Source organism: Homo sapiens, chromosome 10 (assembly GCF_000001405.40).
Source record: "Homo sapiens chromosome 10, GRCh38.p14 Primary Assembly".
Lineage (NCBI taxonomy): Eukaryota > Metazoa > Chordata > Mammalia > Primates > Hominidae > Homo > Homo sapiens.
Window position 1 is genome coordinate 31,348,588 of NC_000010.11, and position 13,912 is coordinate 31,362,499.

The 13,912-nt window shown below is 36.5% G+C and overlaps 1 protein-coding gene and 1 pseudogene across 55 annotated transcripts in view; both read left to right on the forward strand.

Moving 5' to 3' along the window:
• The window catches only part of ZEB1 (zinc finger E-box binding homeobox 1), a 211,388-nt gene that overhangs the window by 30,171 nt on the left and 167,305 nt on the right, over positions 1 to 13,912 (forward strand). For 5 of the 55 annotated variants that reach the window (XM_047425688.1, NM_001323654.2, XM_047425696.1 and 2 more), the window contains exon 2: positions 6,560 to 6,605. The exons of 42 other annotated variants lie outside the window; for them this stretch is intronic. The gene's annotated coding sequence lies outside the window, so the exon portion shown is untranslated. 8 more of the 55 variants (XM_047425689.1, NM_001323658.2, XM_047425690.1 and 5 more) reach the window with 4 other exon arrangements.
• SPTLC1P1 (serine palmitoyltransferase long chain base subunit 1 pseudogene 1) lies at positions 12,326 to 12,627 on the forward strand (annotated as a pseudogene).

Genomic DNA, 13,912 nt, shown 5'->3' on the forward strand with positions numbered 1-13,912 from the left:
AATAGAGTCCCATAAAATTATGTCAGATAGACACTCCTCCTGAGACTTAGGGATTTTCAAACCATTTCAAATAGAAAATGAAAGTGTAAGGAGACAAGTGTGTAACTTTCCAAAAGAAGTTGTGTTCTGTGTCCGTTTTAGGTTACAGAATGACTCAAGCCAAAAAAAAAGTATGTTATTCATTCATTTACACAAAATACAAAATATTTTCATTATCTTCTGTTATTTGTTTAAATTGATAAAATTATATTTATGGTGTACAACTTTATTTTTTGATATATGTACACATTGTGGAATGGCTAAATCAAGCTAATTAACATATGCATTACCTCACATACTTTTTGTTGTGAGAACACCTAAAATCTACTCTTCACAATTTTCAGGTGTACAGTATATTAACTGTAGGCCTATGATTTACCATGGATCTCTTGAATTTATTCCTCCTGTTTAGATGAAATTTTGTATCCTTTGACCAACATTTCCCCACCCCTTCTACACCCCAGCCTCTGGTTACCACCATTCTACTCTCTGCTTCCATGATTTAGACTGTTTTAGATTCCACGTATAAGTGAGATCATTGGCATTTCTCTTTCTGTGCCTTAGCTTATTTCACTTATTATAATGTCCTCCAGGTTCATCCGTGTCGTTGCAACTGACAGGATTTTCTTCTCTTTGAAGGAAGAATAGTATTCTGTTGTGTGCGTATACTACATTCTCTCTATCAGTTCATCTGTTGATGGATACTTAGGTTGATTCCATATCCTGGCTCTTACGAATAATGCTGAAATGAACAGGGGAGTACAGATACCTCATCAACACACTGATTTCATTTCTTTTGTATTTATAACTATTGGTGAGACTGGTGGATCATATGATAGCTCCAATGTTAGTTTTTGAGGACCCTCCATACTGTTTTCCATAGTGGCTGTACCAATTTACATTCCCAGCAACAGCGTACAGGGGTTTCCTTCTCTCTGCATCCTCATCAGCACTTGTTCTGTTTCATCTTTTTGATAATCACCATTCTAACAGGTGTGAGGTAGTCTCTCATTGGGTTTTAATTTGCATTTCCCTGATGATTAGTCATGCTGAGCACTATTTCATATACCTGTTGGCAATTTGTATGTCATCCCTTATGAAATGTCTGCACCCTTTGCTGTTTTTTTATTAGGTTTATTTATTTTCTTGCTATTTAGTTGCTTTAGCTTTTTACATGTTTTGGATACTAATGTCTTATCAGTTGTATGGTGTGTTTTCAAATATTTTCTCCCATTCTGCAGGTTGTCTCTTCACTCTTGATTGTTTTATTTGCTGAGCAGAAATTTTTAGTTTGATGTAATCCTATTTGTCTATTTTTGTTTTTGTTGCCTATACTTTTAGGGTCATATTTAGAAAGTCATTGCCCATACCAGTGTCAGAGAGCTTTTTCCCTATGTTTTCTTGTAGGAGTTTTATAGTGTCGGGTTTCATGTTTAAGTATTTAATCAATTTTGAGTTGATTTTCGTAAATGATGTGAGATGAGGGTCTAATTTCATTCTTCTGCATGGGGACATTCAGTTTTCCCAACACCATTTATTGAGGAGACTGTTTTTTCCCCATTGTGTGTTCTTGGCATCTTTATTGAAAATCAATTGACCATAAATGTGTGGTCTCTCTATTATATTCATATTTTTTAAGTAAATTATTTTATGATGAGAAAGGTGGCAAAAATTCTGCATTATCTTTGATATGTAAGAAAAGGCCATTTGGGCACAGATTGGACCTGATTATTTCTCTTTTCAAGAAGCAAGTACCTTATCTCTATTCTTATTCCAAAGTGATTTAATCTCTATTAATAATTTAGGCAACTAAACATCATTACTGATTGTAGGAGAAATCTGAGTCTAGTCTGTCTATACTGATCAAGAACCAGGACTACCTCATGGAGACTTTGGTAAAATAAATCTCAACAGCACTCACCAGATGAATAAAGGTTTTCTTGAACTAGTTTAAGATACTTGGTTATCAGTTGAACACAAATAGTAATAATTTAAGGTTTCATGAATTGACATGTCTATAATTAGCTTCCTAAACTAAGAATAACAAAAAATGAGTAGTTTGTTAATTCCTAATAGCCTGTGATGAAAGTTATTATCTGGGGTTTTTTTTGGGTCTGTTTTAAAAATTAACACTTTGGCTCTGATTATAAAATTTATAAATTGGAAATTGAAATTACTGGATAAAATACAATTTATGTTTTAAAAACATTTTCAAGTGGAAAAAATTACAGCTTGGCTGAATAGTGATAATTTTCAAACTAAGCCTTTGAGTTCACTATTTAGAGTTCTCTGATAAATTGTTAGAGTTAGAAGTAGTGAGTTCATTGCTTGACTGAATAAATAATTCATATGGCACAAAAGCAGCTTTTTCTTTCTCTTCAGTTCCCTTCTCCCCCATTATGTTCACTTTCTCTCTTGTAAAAGGCTCCTTTGCAGCCAAATAGCAACCTTGTGTGAATATGCAGGGACTTGGGCATAGTTTCAACCTCAGTGTTAGCTGAGTATCTGGAGTCATGGAAGAGAATTAAGAATCTGTCTTGAATGTATATTTTCTAGTAGCAACTGAAAAGAAATATAGTAGTTGTAAATTGCTAGACCTTACTCTTACGGTACAGTTGCTCTGGAAATCTCTTTTTAGCAAAATAGGATTTTATTTCTGGATATAGAATCTTTCGTAGTGTCTGCGTCAAAACAAAATTAAGTTTTAAAATTGAGTAAATCATTTATTTTTTCTAGTTTTTTCAGAAATGCTTTTTTACTAGACTAAATAACTTTTCAGCATCAGTCTGATAAGCATAGAATTTTCAAAATTCTTTACTTGCTATTTTAGAATTCTTTATTTTCTAAGAATTATGAAGACTGTATTAGGTATTTATGTGGACTTCCTTTTTTTCCTACCTTTTATTATAGCACCAAAATTGGAATTACGCTAGATTATTTTCTCTCTGCTGTTTAAATCATAAGAGACTCTTTTATTGGGTCAGGGCAATTGTCTTTCTAGCACAATAATCTTCTTTGATAATGTCACTACTGGAAATTATGTTTATCCTTCATAAATTAACTAATCCTTATTTTTGTAATAAATTATCTGATATCCTTCAGAGGTTATCTAAAAATATTCCTTTAAGTCTGCATGTATTCAGCATATTTCATGGTATAACAAGACTTTTACAGTTGTATAACAGAAATTTAAAATAAGGCAACGGACTGTAATCCAGACTTCTGTCAACTGGAAATTTTTATGAAGTAGTATTTTGCTGGTATACTGATACTTCACCAAATACAATGTTTATCTTTAAAGAAGTTTCTAAATAAGACAAAACATTATGTTTAGTAAAATTCAATGTAGTATGTTTTACTGTATACTAATTCTTTATATAGCCCATAATCATAATACATAGGCTATATAATACATGTAAAGCATATAATTCATAATACATAGGATACAAATCAAATATATGAGCTTTATTTTGATATAATCAGACTTTATTCTGTTACCTATTTGCCTTTCTTTTTCAAACTTTTAAGCGTTGCCCTTATTTTCATAAGACTTAGTGTTTCACTCAGTATTAAATTTATCCAAAGTCATTGTGATTTTATGAAACATTGTGATTTTAAGTGCTGAACCATGTTGTTTTTCAATGTAAAATGAGTGTAACTTTTAGTAATTATTGAAATTTAAGCGTTACTGTGATTTTCCATAATTCTATTTCGGTAGTCACAAAAAAACAAAAATTTGGCTTCTTATTGGCCCTTCTAGTGCCAACACTGGCATTGTTGAAATACATTTCTAAGGAAGATGGTGAGTGTTTCACTTCATTAGTAGCTGCATGACAAGCCACCCCAAAGTTTAATGGCTTAAAACAACAGTAATTCATTATTTCTCATAATTTTGAGAGTTGACTGAGTGAGTCTTCTGCTTTGTGTGGTCTTGGCTGGGGTGCTAGGAAAGAGGGCAGTCCACAGTGGCCTCACTTACATAGCTGGCAGTGGATGCAGGCTGCTGGCGTGGAGCACAGTTGGGGGTGGCCTGGGTGCCTCAGCTCTCCTTAAGTGTGCCTCTCTGTGAAGTTAGTTGGGCTTGCTTACAACATGGTAGCTGGATTCCAAAAAGAAATGTTCCAAGGGCAAAGAAGCTGCAGCCTTTTAAAGGGCCATATTTAGAAGTTACTTAGCATTACTTCTGCCCATTCTGTTGATCAAAACAAGTCACAAGGCCAGCCCAGATCAACAGGAAGAGAAATAGGCTTCATTTGTTAAAGATGGAGTAGCAAGATTACACTGTAGAAGAGCAAATGGTTTGGGATGTATTGTTGCAGCCATCTATGGAAATGCAAACTACCACAAGGAAGTGCAGTTTTTGCTGAGCATGGGTATTTGCCATTACCACATTTCAGAAACTGGTATAGTCAAGCACACATGGATTTGACCACTGGATTTACACTAGGGTCACTTAAGAGCTATCAGCCACTGTCTTCTCATCTGTATGACAGTAGTAGTATCAACCTCACAGGATTGACAGTTAAGTGAGATAATTTGGAAGTACACAGCGTAGTGCTGGAAATTCCATTACTCCCATCCTGTTTCTTTTCCCATGTCCCTCATGTTTAATTTTTATATTTGTGATTATAATACTTAAAGGTATGTTTTAAAGATAAATCATAATTCATCTAAAGTCTTTGTCTTACCAAGATAGTTCAATAGTTCCAATCTGAATAAAGTTTATAACATTAACATAATTTATAGATCTTCTAATACAAGCATCTGTCTAATGCTAGAATTCTTTATAAACCACTGTATATAGGCTACTCACAATGTAATGAGCTACTAATTGGTAGAAACAAGTGGCTATTTGCCATAGTTCTACATTCTGTTCTACCTTCTATTTTGCAGAAAAATCTTACAGCTTTCCTAAGCCATCTTTTTAGGTCAATTCCAGAATTTGTTTATGATCAAATTGACAAGTACCTAGCCAAAGAGATTAAGATACTGAATCAGAGAAAGAAGTCTAAAGAGATAATTTTCCAATGATCATTTCTAAAGAAGGAATAGAGATAAAATATTTTAAAACAGGTACTGAATAGTCACAGTCAAAGGTTTGATTATGAGTCAGCTTTGTTGGTTTTAGTCTCATTAGTCACCAGCACCACCAACCTGTCATATTGGCAATACATAGTTTTGGTCACCAGGAGAAGGAGTCACAGAAAACCAGTACTACTACTTACAGAAGATTAACTGAAAGCACATGTCCTGATTTGTTCTTGAAGATAAGACTGAGGTGAATATTGCTTAAAACAGTATCAGCAAAATACAAAATCAAGTGAAATATTACATTGAATATAATAATTGAAAGAATGAGGATAGACACAAAGAACTTTTGGATGCTAGTGATTAGATATTAGAATTAGTTTCTCAGAATATTTTAAAGAATTTAACAAATGACAGTGTTATGAATTATGTGGGCAGTGCTTAAAGTGGGAACAGAGCAAAAGAAGTGGATTTAGTTTTGTCAAGTCTGTCTGTTCAGCGTTAGGGGGAACATTTTATTTCTTCTGAAACAATGATATTGGAATCCCATTTCATCTTTTCATTTTCAAACACTGACTTTATAAGTGACTTTGGGAGAAGCTTTTAAGTTTTATATAAAGCACTTTTTTTGTACTTAGCACAAAGTGGGCACCTTTAAAATTACCTGTTTGTATAGCAGTTAATTTAAAGAATATGTTCATGCATATTACTATATTTTCTCGATTCTAAAAGCTCATCAATTGTAAGGCACATTCTTTGATTTCATAACAACTTTTTAATGTCTCTTTTTGGAAAAATAAAACACTTTTCTTGGGGGAGGAGGAGAATTTTTCTAAGGATTATTCTGAATTCCTTTGGGCCATAGGCACTGTAGCAAATGCTGCTCTTCCTGATCTTTAACACTTTTAGGATTGATAGTGTCGTTCTGAGCCATGTCCAGGAATTACTTTGGCGAGGTTTCCATTTCCTATTTAATTAAAATTTTTTTACTAATTATATTACATTTCACTAGAAGTTAAATAACTTCTCTTGAAAGTCATCCAGAAGACTTTAACAGCCAGATATTTGGTATCTGCTCAGAATTATCACTTGTGAAACCTTCATTAAACATAATTCAGCCACATGTCACAGAAAGTTCTGCATGTATAATAACTTTTTGTTTCAATGCTGCATTATAGTGATCTTTAAAAGACATTTTAAGAGGTAATTTAGGGATTTCAAATTAAGTTAAAATTTAGCTGTGCATAGTTCTGTTGATGCTGATAAGTGAACAGAAGGTAAATTCTTAGTCATGTCTAAGTTCACACAGAGATACAATAATACACGTGGGTGTAATACAAAGCATTATAGTATTTTGTATAGTATCTCCTTTGTTATTAAAAGTTCTTTTGATATCTTTGGTAAGACTCCTATTGATTTGAAAAATGTTACTGTGAAAAAAATGTGCTTTAAGAGTTGAGAAAGTAAATTATTCCTTTTTTTCTCTCAGCAGCTGTTTAAGGAAGACAGAGCAGGCATTGGATAATATTCTTATTAAGGTAAAGAATCTGGGTGTTTGAGCCCTAAAGTCATACAGCAAGTAGTCCACCTGGAATCATGAACCAGGTCTTCAGGACTTCCAGATATTTGTGCTGTATACTATGCTGCATTTTCAACAATAATTCATTTATCTGTGGGTTTGATTTAATGAGACTCATTTATTCAACAAATATTTATTAAATGCTATTCTTGCCAGTCATTGTGTTAAATGATAGTGTAACACAGTAAACAAGACAGATATCTTTCCATGTCCTCACGAAACCAGCAGCTTTGGAACTAAACAAATAATTATAACTAAGATGAGCATTAAGGGAGAAATTGTAAGATGATAGGAAAGAATATAACAGGCGGACTTAACCTGCTCTGGGATGGTGGGGGAGTGTTGAATGTGAACTGAGGGTAGGACATGAGAAATAACTTTTGGGCTGAGATTGGAAGAATCAGCATGAGTTAGCTTAAGCCTAGGAATTAGGAGAAGGGTTAGGATGGAACATTGCAGGCAACAGAAATAGCATCTACAAAAGTAAAAGGAAGAACTGAAAAGATTCCAGTGTGAGCGTTGAAAAGAAGGATAAGTAAATGTAGAGAAGAATGTAGGAAAGAGATTATGCATTCTTCAGGATTTTTTGACCTATATCCTAAGGGATATTGGGAAACCATGGAAAGGTTTTAAGCATCGGGGTATGCCATGATTAAATTTTTCATTTGAAAATCATGAGTCTGACTATAGTATATATAGAAGCATTGTTGTTAGATGCTATTTCGGTAGGCCAGGTTGGAGATGATGGTTACAGCAGTGGAGCTGGAGAGAAGGGAATAGATTTGAAATTTGGGATGTGAACAAAGCCTTGTATTTGACAGAAATGTAAAACTATTAATAGTATTGTTATTGTTCCACCTATAGAATCTGATTATAAGATTATCTCTAAAATACTTTCAGGTAACTTGTACTTAATGTTAGGAGGAAGTGACTATATTATAAATATAATTTAGAAAACATCGTTCCTTAAAAAATAATTTTTGAATTGTGCTAATTCTTGTTATTGTTTGACTTCATTAACTAATATAGGGAGTATAGGGAGAACTTAGTTTTAAAAGATAATTTGACTTCCTGATTTATACATAAAACACATAAGTAATTTTGGACATATATGATGTGTATATATATATATATATAGTGCAGGTCATCTTGTTTACACCACTTATTAATGAATATCAGATTTGGAAGGTGACTCTTTAGGATTTTCCTATTGGTTGATTGATTGAAACTTACATGAAGAATTTAACCCTTTTGTTTCAAATAGCTTTCTATTAAGAAACACTTTTTTCATGATTATTCAGAGAATTTATTGCTGGATCATTGGCTCTAGAGATAGACTGCTGGTTAAATTAAAAGATGCCGGAGGAAACATTTTGGAAACAGACTTCACAGAATTCCTTATGAACTTCTGTACTTTCTTAACCAATCTTATTTCTTTCATGTACCTATGGCTGTTACTAGCCTGTTGTATCAGGGATACCATAGTCAACTACCTATACGGGCCTTAACTATAAAGAATTAGGCCATTTAGGGAAATAATAATGAGACTGGGGCTTTAGAGAATTTGTGCTCATCTAACTGAGTAGAGGGACAGCTAATATTCTGCTCCATCTGATGGTGATCATGGGAGTATTCAGGCTGATTGTTACCCAATATTTCAGTTTTTCCAAAGGATCCTAAAATACAGATTTTTATGTAAATTAGTTGGTAATTAATTTAGGTGTTTTTAAGATACTCTGTGACAATAACTCTACAGGGCAAAATCGACCTGTTAAATATATTTGGCCCATAGGCTGTTGTTTTATAGCCTTGACCATATAGAAATCTTCAATATCTATTTAAAAGTAAGAGGTCAAAAGTATTTCTAGGAAAAGTGAATGCCAAAAGAAGGGAGGAAGGGAAGGCATAAATGAGATACTTTTTAAAAGAAGTACAAAACTAGTTATCTAGGTTATATTTTTAAACTAAGTTCAAAAAGAAATTCACTGTCCTGAGAATAATTTTCATATGCTTCAGAACATACTTCTAGCAACTTCAGCCATCTGCGTGTGTATAACTGGGAACTCAGAGTAGGATGAGAATGCACAGGGCGTAGAGAACCAATGAACTGTAGATGAGAGTGTAGTGGTTCTCTGAAACTGTTGTGAGCAGAGTACAGCAGGAACAAGAGACAGTTGATATTGGAGCAAAATCAGGCTATAAGAACATAGCGATCTGAGTACATCATGGGCCCCTGAAAGCATTACTAGACTAAAAGCATAATTTTTTATACTGATGATCAAGAAGAGGTCATATTGGTACACTAAGATTGAATAACTCTGCTCCCAATAGCACATGTAATACACAATCACTGTAGGAAATCAGGAAAATATACAAAAAGTAGCATATGGTTTTTTTTTAAAGCTAGGAATGGGTAAAATTCTAAAGTTTTCTAAAAGTAATGAAAATAGAACTTGGCAATTGTTAGTTTCCTAATAGCTAATTAGTTTCCAAATTAGTCTAATTTGGCTTAAATAAAAAGAATATTGGTTAGCTCACATAAGAAAATACATATATTAGGATTAGTTACGCCAGTGGCTCAGTGATTTTTTTCAAGGACTCAGTTTGTCGTCTACTCTACTCTTTATCCATAATATTTCCTTTATCCCAACACTGTAGTTGCCAAATGGCTGCTGGCTGCAATCAGGATTGTGTGTTTCCTCCTTCAGATCCAAAGAGAGAAATAAACTTCTCTTGGCGTTCTCATGGGCAATATAGGTTCTTTTCTCTGAGAAGTCCTTATGCACTCCTGCCCCCAACTTGCTCCTTATTGTCCTAAATTAGCTTAATTCTAAATATGCCTTAACTAATCGTTGGCAAAAGGGATGAGCTTACCATAATGGATTAGATTAATTGTGGTCTACCCTTGCAGCTCAGGACAGTCAGCTTACCCTGAGGCGCATTGACCACTGGGAGAGATGTGGATATAGAAATCCAATCATGGATCATTAGGAAGAAGGAAGCGTTGGATAGGCTCTCAGCATGGTCCACCACAGTTGCATTAAGGATTGTGTATTACGTTTTTTACTTATGTGAAACACCACCTTCCCCCATCAAGCCTGTAAGTATGAAGTCGAGTCCCTAGTGAATCTACTCTCTGACTCCTGTGTTTCAAGCACCCTCATTAGCAGAGCTTATATAGTTCGGAGTTGAAGAATTTTTTTTTCCCAAAAATTCTCTTCTCATTTAATAGACACCTGTCTGTAGAGTAAACTATGCAGGCCATAAATGGAACAAAGATAGTTTAGGAAAATACAGTTTCTTAAATAAATTACTTTTAAAAAGTATATTTTCTCTCAGCTCTTCTCTCCAAAGGAGTTTTGTATCATAACCTCTGTAGTAAATAGTGTCATCTTTATTGTCTGATTATAAAGGTGAAGTATAATTTATGGGATAATTTACAAAGCAAAAAAGAAATACTTATTTTTAAAGTTTAAAAATTTTCTGTGTAGAAAATACTATAATAATGCATGATTTTAAGAATCTGTTATTTTGGCTAAAATATTTAACCAGCCAACCATATATCTTATTTCTTTCAGTTGCTAGATTTCTGAATGTTAGCCAAATATTTTAGTATCTGGGTCACATAGTCATTACAAACAAATGTAGGCCAAAATGGTTTATGCTTCTCAGTTGCCAGCTCAGTTCTCTCTTTGACTTTTTATTATTTGTTTCTCTTTGAACTAAACTTTATTTACTTATATTAGCACAGTACTGTGTTAATTCTTTGTGTAGAACTGGTCTTCTTGTGTCGTTTTGCCCCAAATCAAGGTAACAAACAAATAAATGACTGTGCTCTTGGCTGTTATTTAGAATTGTTACTATACAAAAGGTCACACATGTTAAATTACCTACTGCAGTGCTAATTATTGTGAAACCTTGTTCAAAATGCTAGAGAGACTGTGTTTTGGCACTTCTGCTGTAACAGTTTTTAAAGATCCAACCTGTATGCATTTTGGTATTGAAATCCTCAAAACTCCTAAAGACCCTATGTTAATTTAAAATGCAAAGTTGTCTCACCTTTTTATACTAGATGAGATAGCATTTTTCTTAAAGTAAAATGAGAACTCTTATGTGTTATGATATAGAGGTAAGGGCAGGGAAAGAGAGGGAAAGAAGAAAGGAGTACATTGGAGTAACAAAAATTCCACCTTCATTTATAAAGTGCTATAGGCTCTAAAACTCCATTCTGAAATACTCTTTTAACTTTGAAAGGGGTATGTTTACTGCCAGCTTCTGTTAACACAGGAACCATGGTTTTTCTGTTCTTAAAATTAAGAACCTTATACCTTTTGGAATTTTTAATATTTTTCTCTATGTTTGTAATGCTTTTAATTATGTTTATTACTAACTGATGTTATTAACTATATTTATAATTTGTACACTCTATTCTGTTTGGAAAGTACAAAATGATACCATAGATACTTCCTGAATTTTTTTAGAAAAATCAAAATTTTATTCATCTTTATTCATAGCATCATTGGACATTCAGTTAGTAAATTTTCCAGATAACAAACACCTATCTTCTTTGATTGCTAGAATAGTTAATCTCAACCCCTCTTGTTATAAAATATAGTGACTGTGGATTGTTGATGAAAATTTCTTAAGACAGTGTATTCAGGAAGACACTGCCTCAGGGCTACTGAGGTATGTCATAGGGCCATTTGTCCTTTCAAAAATAATTCTCAGTAGCTATTGTTGCTTTGCATTTGTATAAAGTGTCTGTTTTTTCAAAGCTTGATATTAATTCTGATAGCTACTAGTGTACAGAGAAGGGTGTCTGTGAATAAAGTAAGAGAAAGAATGTTCATAATAGATTTGAAGAGCACTTCAATGAGTAAAGTACTTGGACTTTACAATGTTTGCTTTTACTTCACTAAGTCCTGCCCTGTGCCCCTGCTCCTGCCCCTTTATGCCATAGTCTCTTTTTTAACATGGTACTTGGCAGTGTTCCAGGTAGTTATTGTAAGAAGGATGAGCTTAGACTTGGAGCTAGACAAACATGATGGGAATTAAAACAGGATAATTTAATAGCTGTGAGACCTTAAGCAAGTTCACAACTGCAAAATGGGTTTGTATATACTATCTCTCACGGTTGTAAGGATTAAATATAATGGATATAGTTTAGGAGGTATTTTAACAAATGCTAGTTCCTTTCCTTATACTTTAAGATAAATGACCCACTTACTTTGGAAATGGTATTTGCCTATTTTAGTATGATGCTATAAGGTTTAAAGGGTCAGTATCCCTAAAATATGACAGCTGTTAAGATCTCTTTAATTATTCAGAAATGAATGGTATGTGACAAGATATTATTGGTTAATTCAGTGGATCAGATGAATAAAATGTGCTGAAATATTTTGGAGACTGAAAATATAAATTTAGATGCAAGAAATATATTTTAAATAAACATGGAAAACAGTTTTTTTATCCGAGTCTAATCACGTTGAAATATTTTATGAATATCCCCAGAGAGTTCGTAAATTAGTGAGTGATTTTTTTAAATGCAAAGGTAAATACCTAGAAATCATATATACACTTAAAGTAAAATCTCACAGAGTTCTCAAGGCCATTTTGCATTTACTAGTGCCACAGTAGTGGCGTTACAGTGAGCTGCAGTAACCTGAAACAGTACTGCATGGATGCTCTAATAAATTGCATGTCTGGAGGAAGCAGCTAACTATGGCGACCGCCACGGAGCAGTGGGTTCTGGTGGAGATGGTACAGGCGCTTTACAAGGCTCCTGCTTACCATCTTATTTTGGAAGGGATTCTGATACTCTGGATAATCAGACTTCTTTTCTCTAAGACTTACAAATTACAAGAACGATCTGATCTTACAGTCAAGGAAAAAGAAGAACTGATTGAAGAGTGGCAACCAGAACCTCTTGTTCCTCCTGTCCCAAAAGACCATCCTGCTCTCAACTACAACATCGTTTCAGGACGCAGTCTTGCTCTGTCACCAGGCTGGAGTGCAGTGGTGCGATCTCGGCTCACTGCAACCTCCACTTCCCGGGTTCAAGCCATTCTCCTGCCTCAGCCTCCTGAGTAGCTGGGACTACAGGCACAAGCCACCATGCCCGCCTAATTTTTGTATTTTCAGTAGAGACGGAGTTTCACCATGTTGGCCAGAATGATCTTGATCTCCTTTTTTTAAATTAAAAAGTAAACTTTAATGTCGAAAATGCAAACCTGGGGAGGGCAGAAAGATCACACACAAGGCTGTCACTTCACACTTGGAAGGTTGCACAGCAGCCAGGCAGAGACCCTCCTCACTTCCCAGATGGTGAGGGGGCCGGGTGGGGGCACTCCTCACTTCCCAGACGGTGCAGGGGCTGGGCAGAGGCACTCCTCCCTTACAAATGGTGAGGGGGCTGGGCAGAGGTGCTCCTCACTTTCCAGACAGGGCGGCGGCTGGGCAGGGGCGCTCCTCACTTCCCAGATGGGACGGTGGCCGGGCAGAGGCGCTCCTCATTTCCCAGACGGTGAGGAGGCCAGGCAGAGGCACTCCTCACTTCACAGACAGGACGGCAGCAGGGCAGAGGCGCTCCTCATTTCCCAGACGGTGAGGAGGCCGGGCAGAGGCACTCCTCGCTTCGCAGACGGGACGGCGGCAAGGCAGGGGCACTCCTCATTTCCCAGACGGTGAGGAGGCCGGGCAGAGGCACTCCTCGCTTCGCAGACGGGACGGCGGCAGGGCAGAGGCGCTCCTCATTTCCCAGACGGTGAGGAGGCTGGGCAGAGGCACTCCTCGCTTCGCAGACGGGGCGGCGGCGGGGCAGAGGCGCTCCTCATTTCCCACACGGTGAGGAGGCCGGGCAGGGGCACTCCTTACTTCGCAGACAGGACGGCGGCGGGGCAGAGGCGCTCCTTGTTTCCCAGATGGGGCGGCGGCTGGGCAGAGGCGCTTCTCACTTCCCATACTGTGAGGCAGCTGGGCAGAGGTGCTCCTCACTTCCCAGATGGGGTGGAGGCCAGGCAGAGGCGGCGCTCCTCCTCAATTCCCAGATAGTGGGCGGCTGGGCAGAGGCGCGCCTCACTTCCCGGACGGGGCGGTGGCCGAGCAGAGGCGCTCCTCACTTCCCAGAGTGTAGGGGGGCCGGGCAGAGGCACTCCTCGCTTCCCAGAGTGTAGGGGGGCCGGGCAGAGGCACTCCTCGCTTCGCAGACGGGACGGTGGCTGGGCAGAGGCGCTCCTCACTTCCCAGACAGGGCGGCGGCCTGGCGGA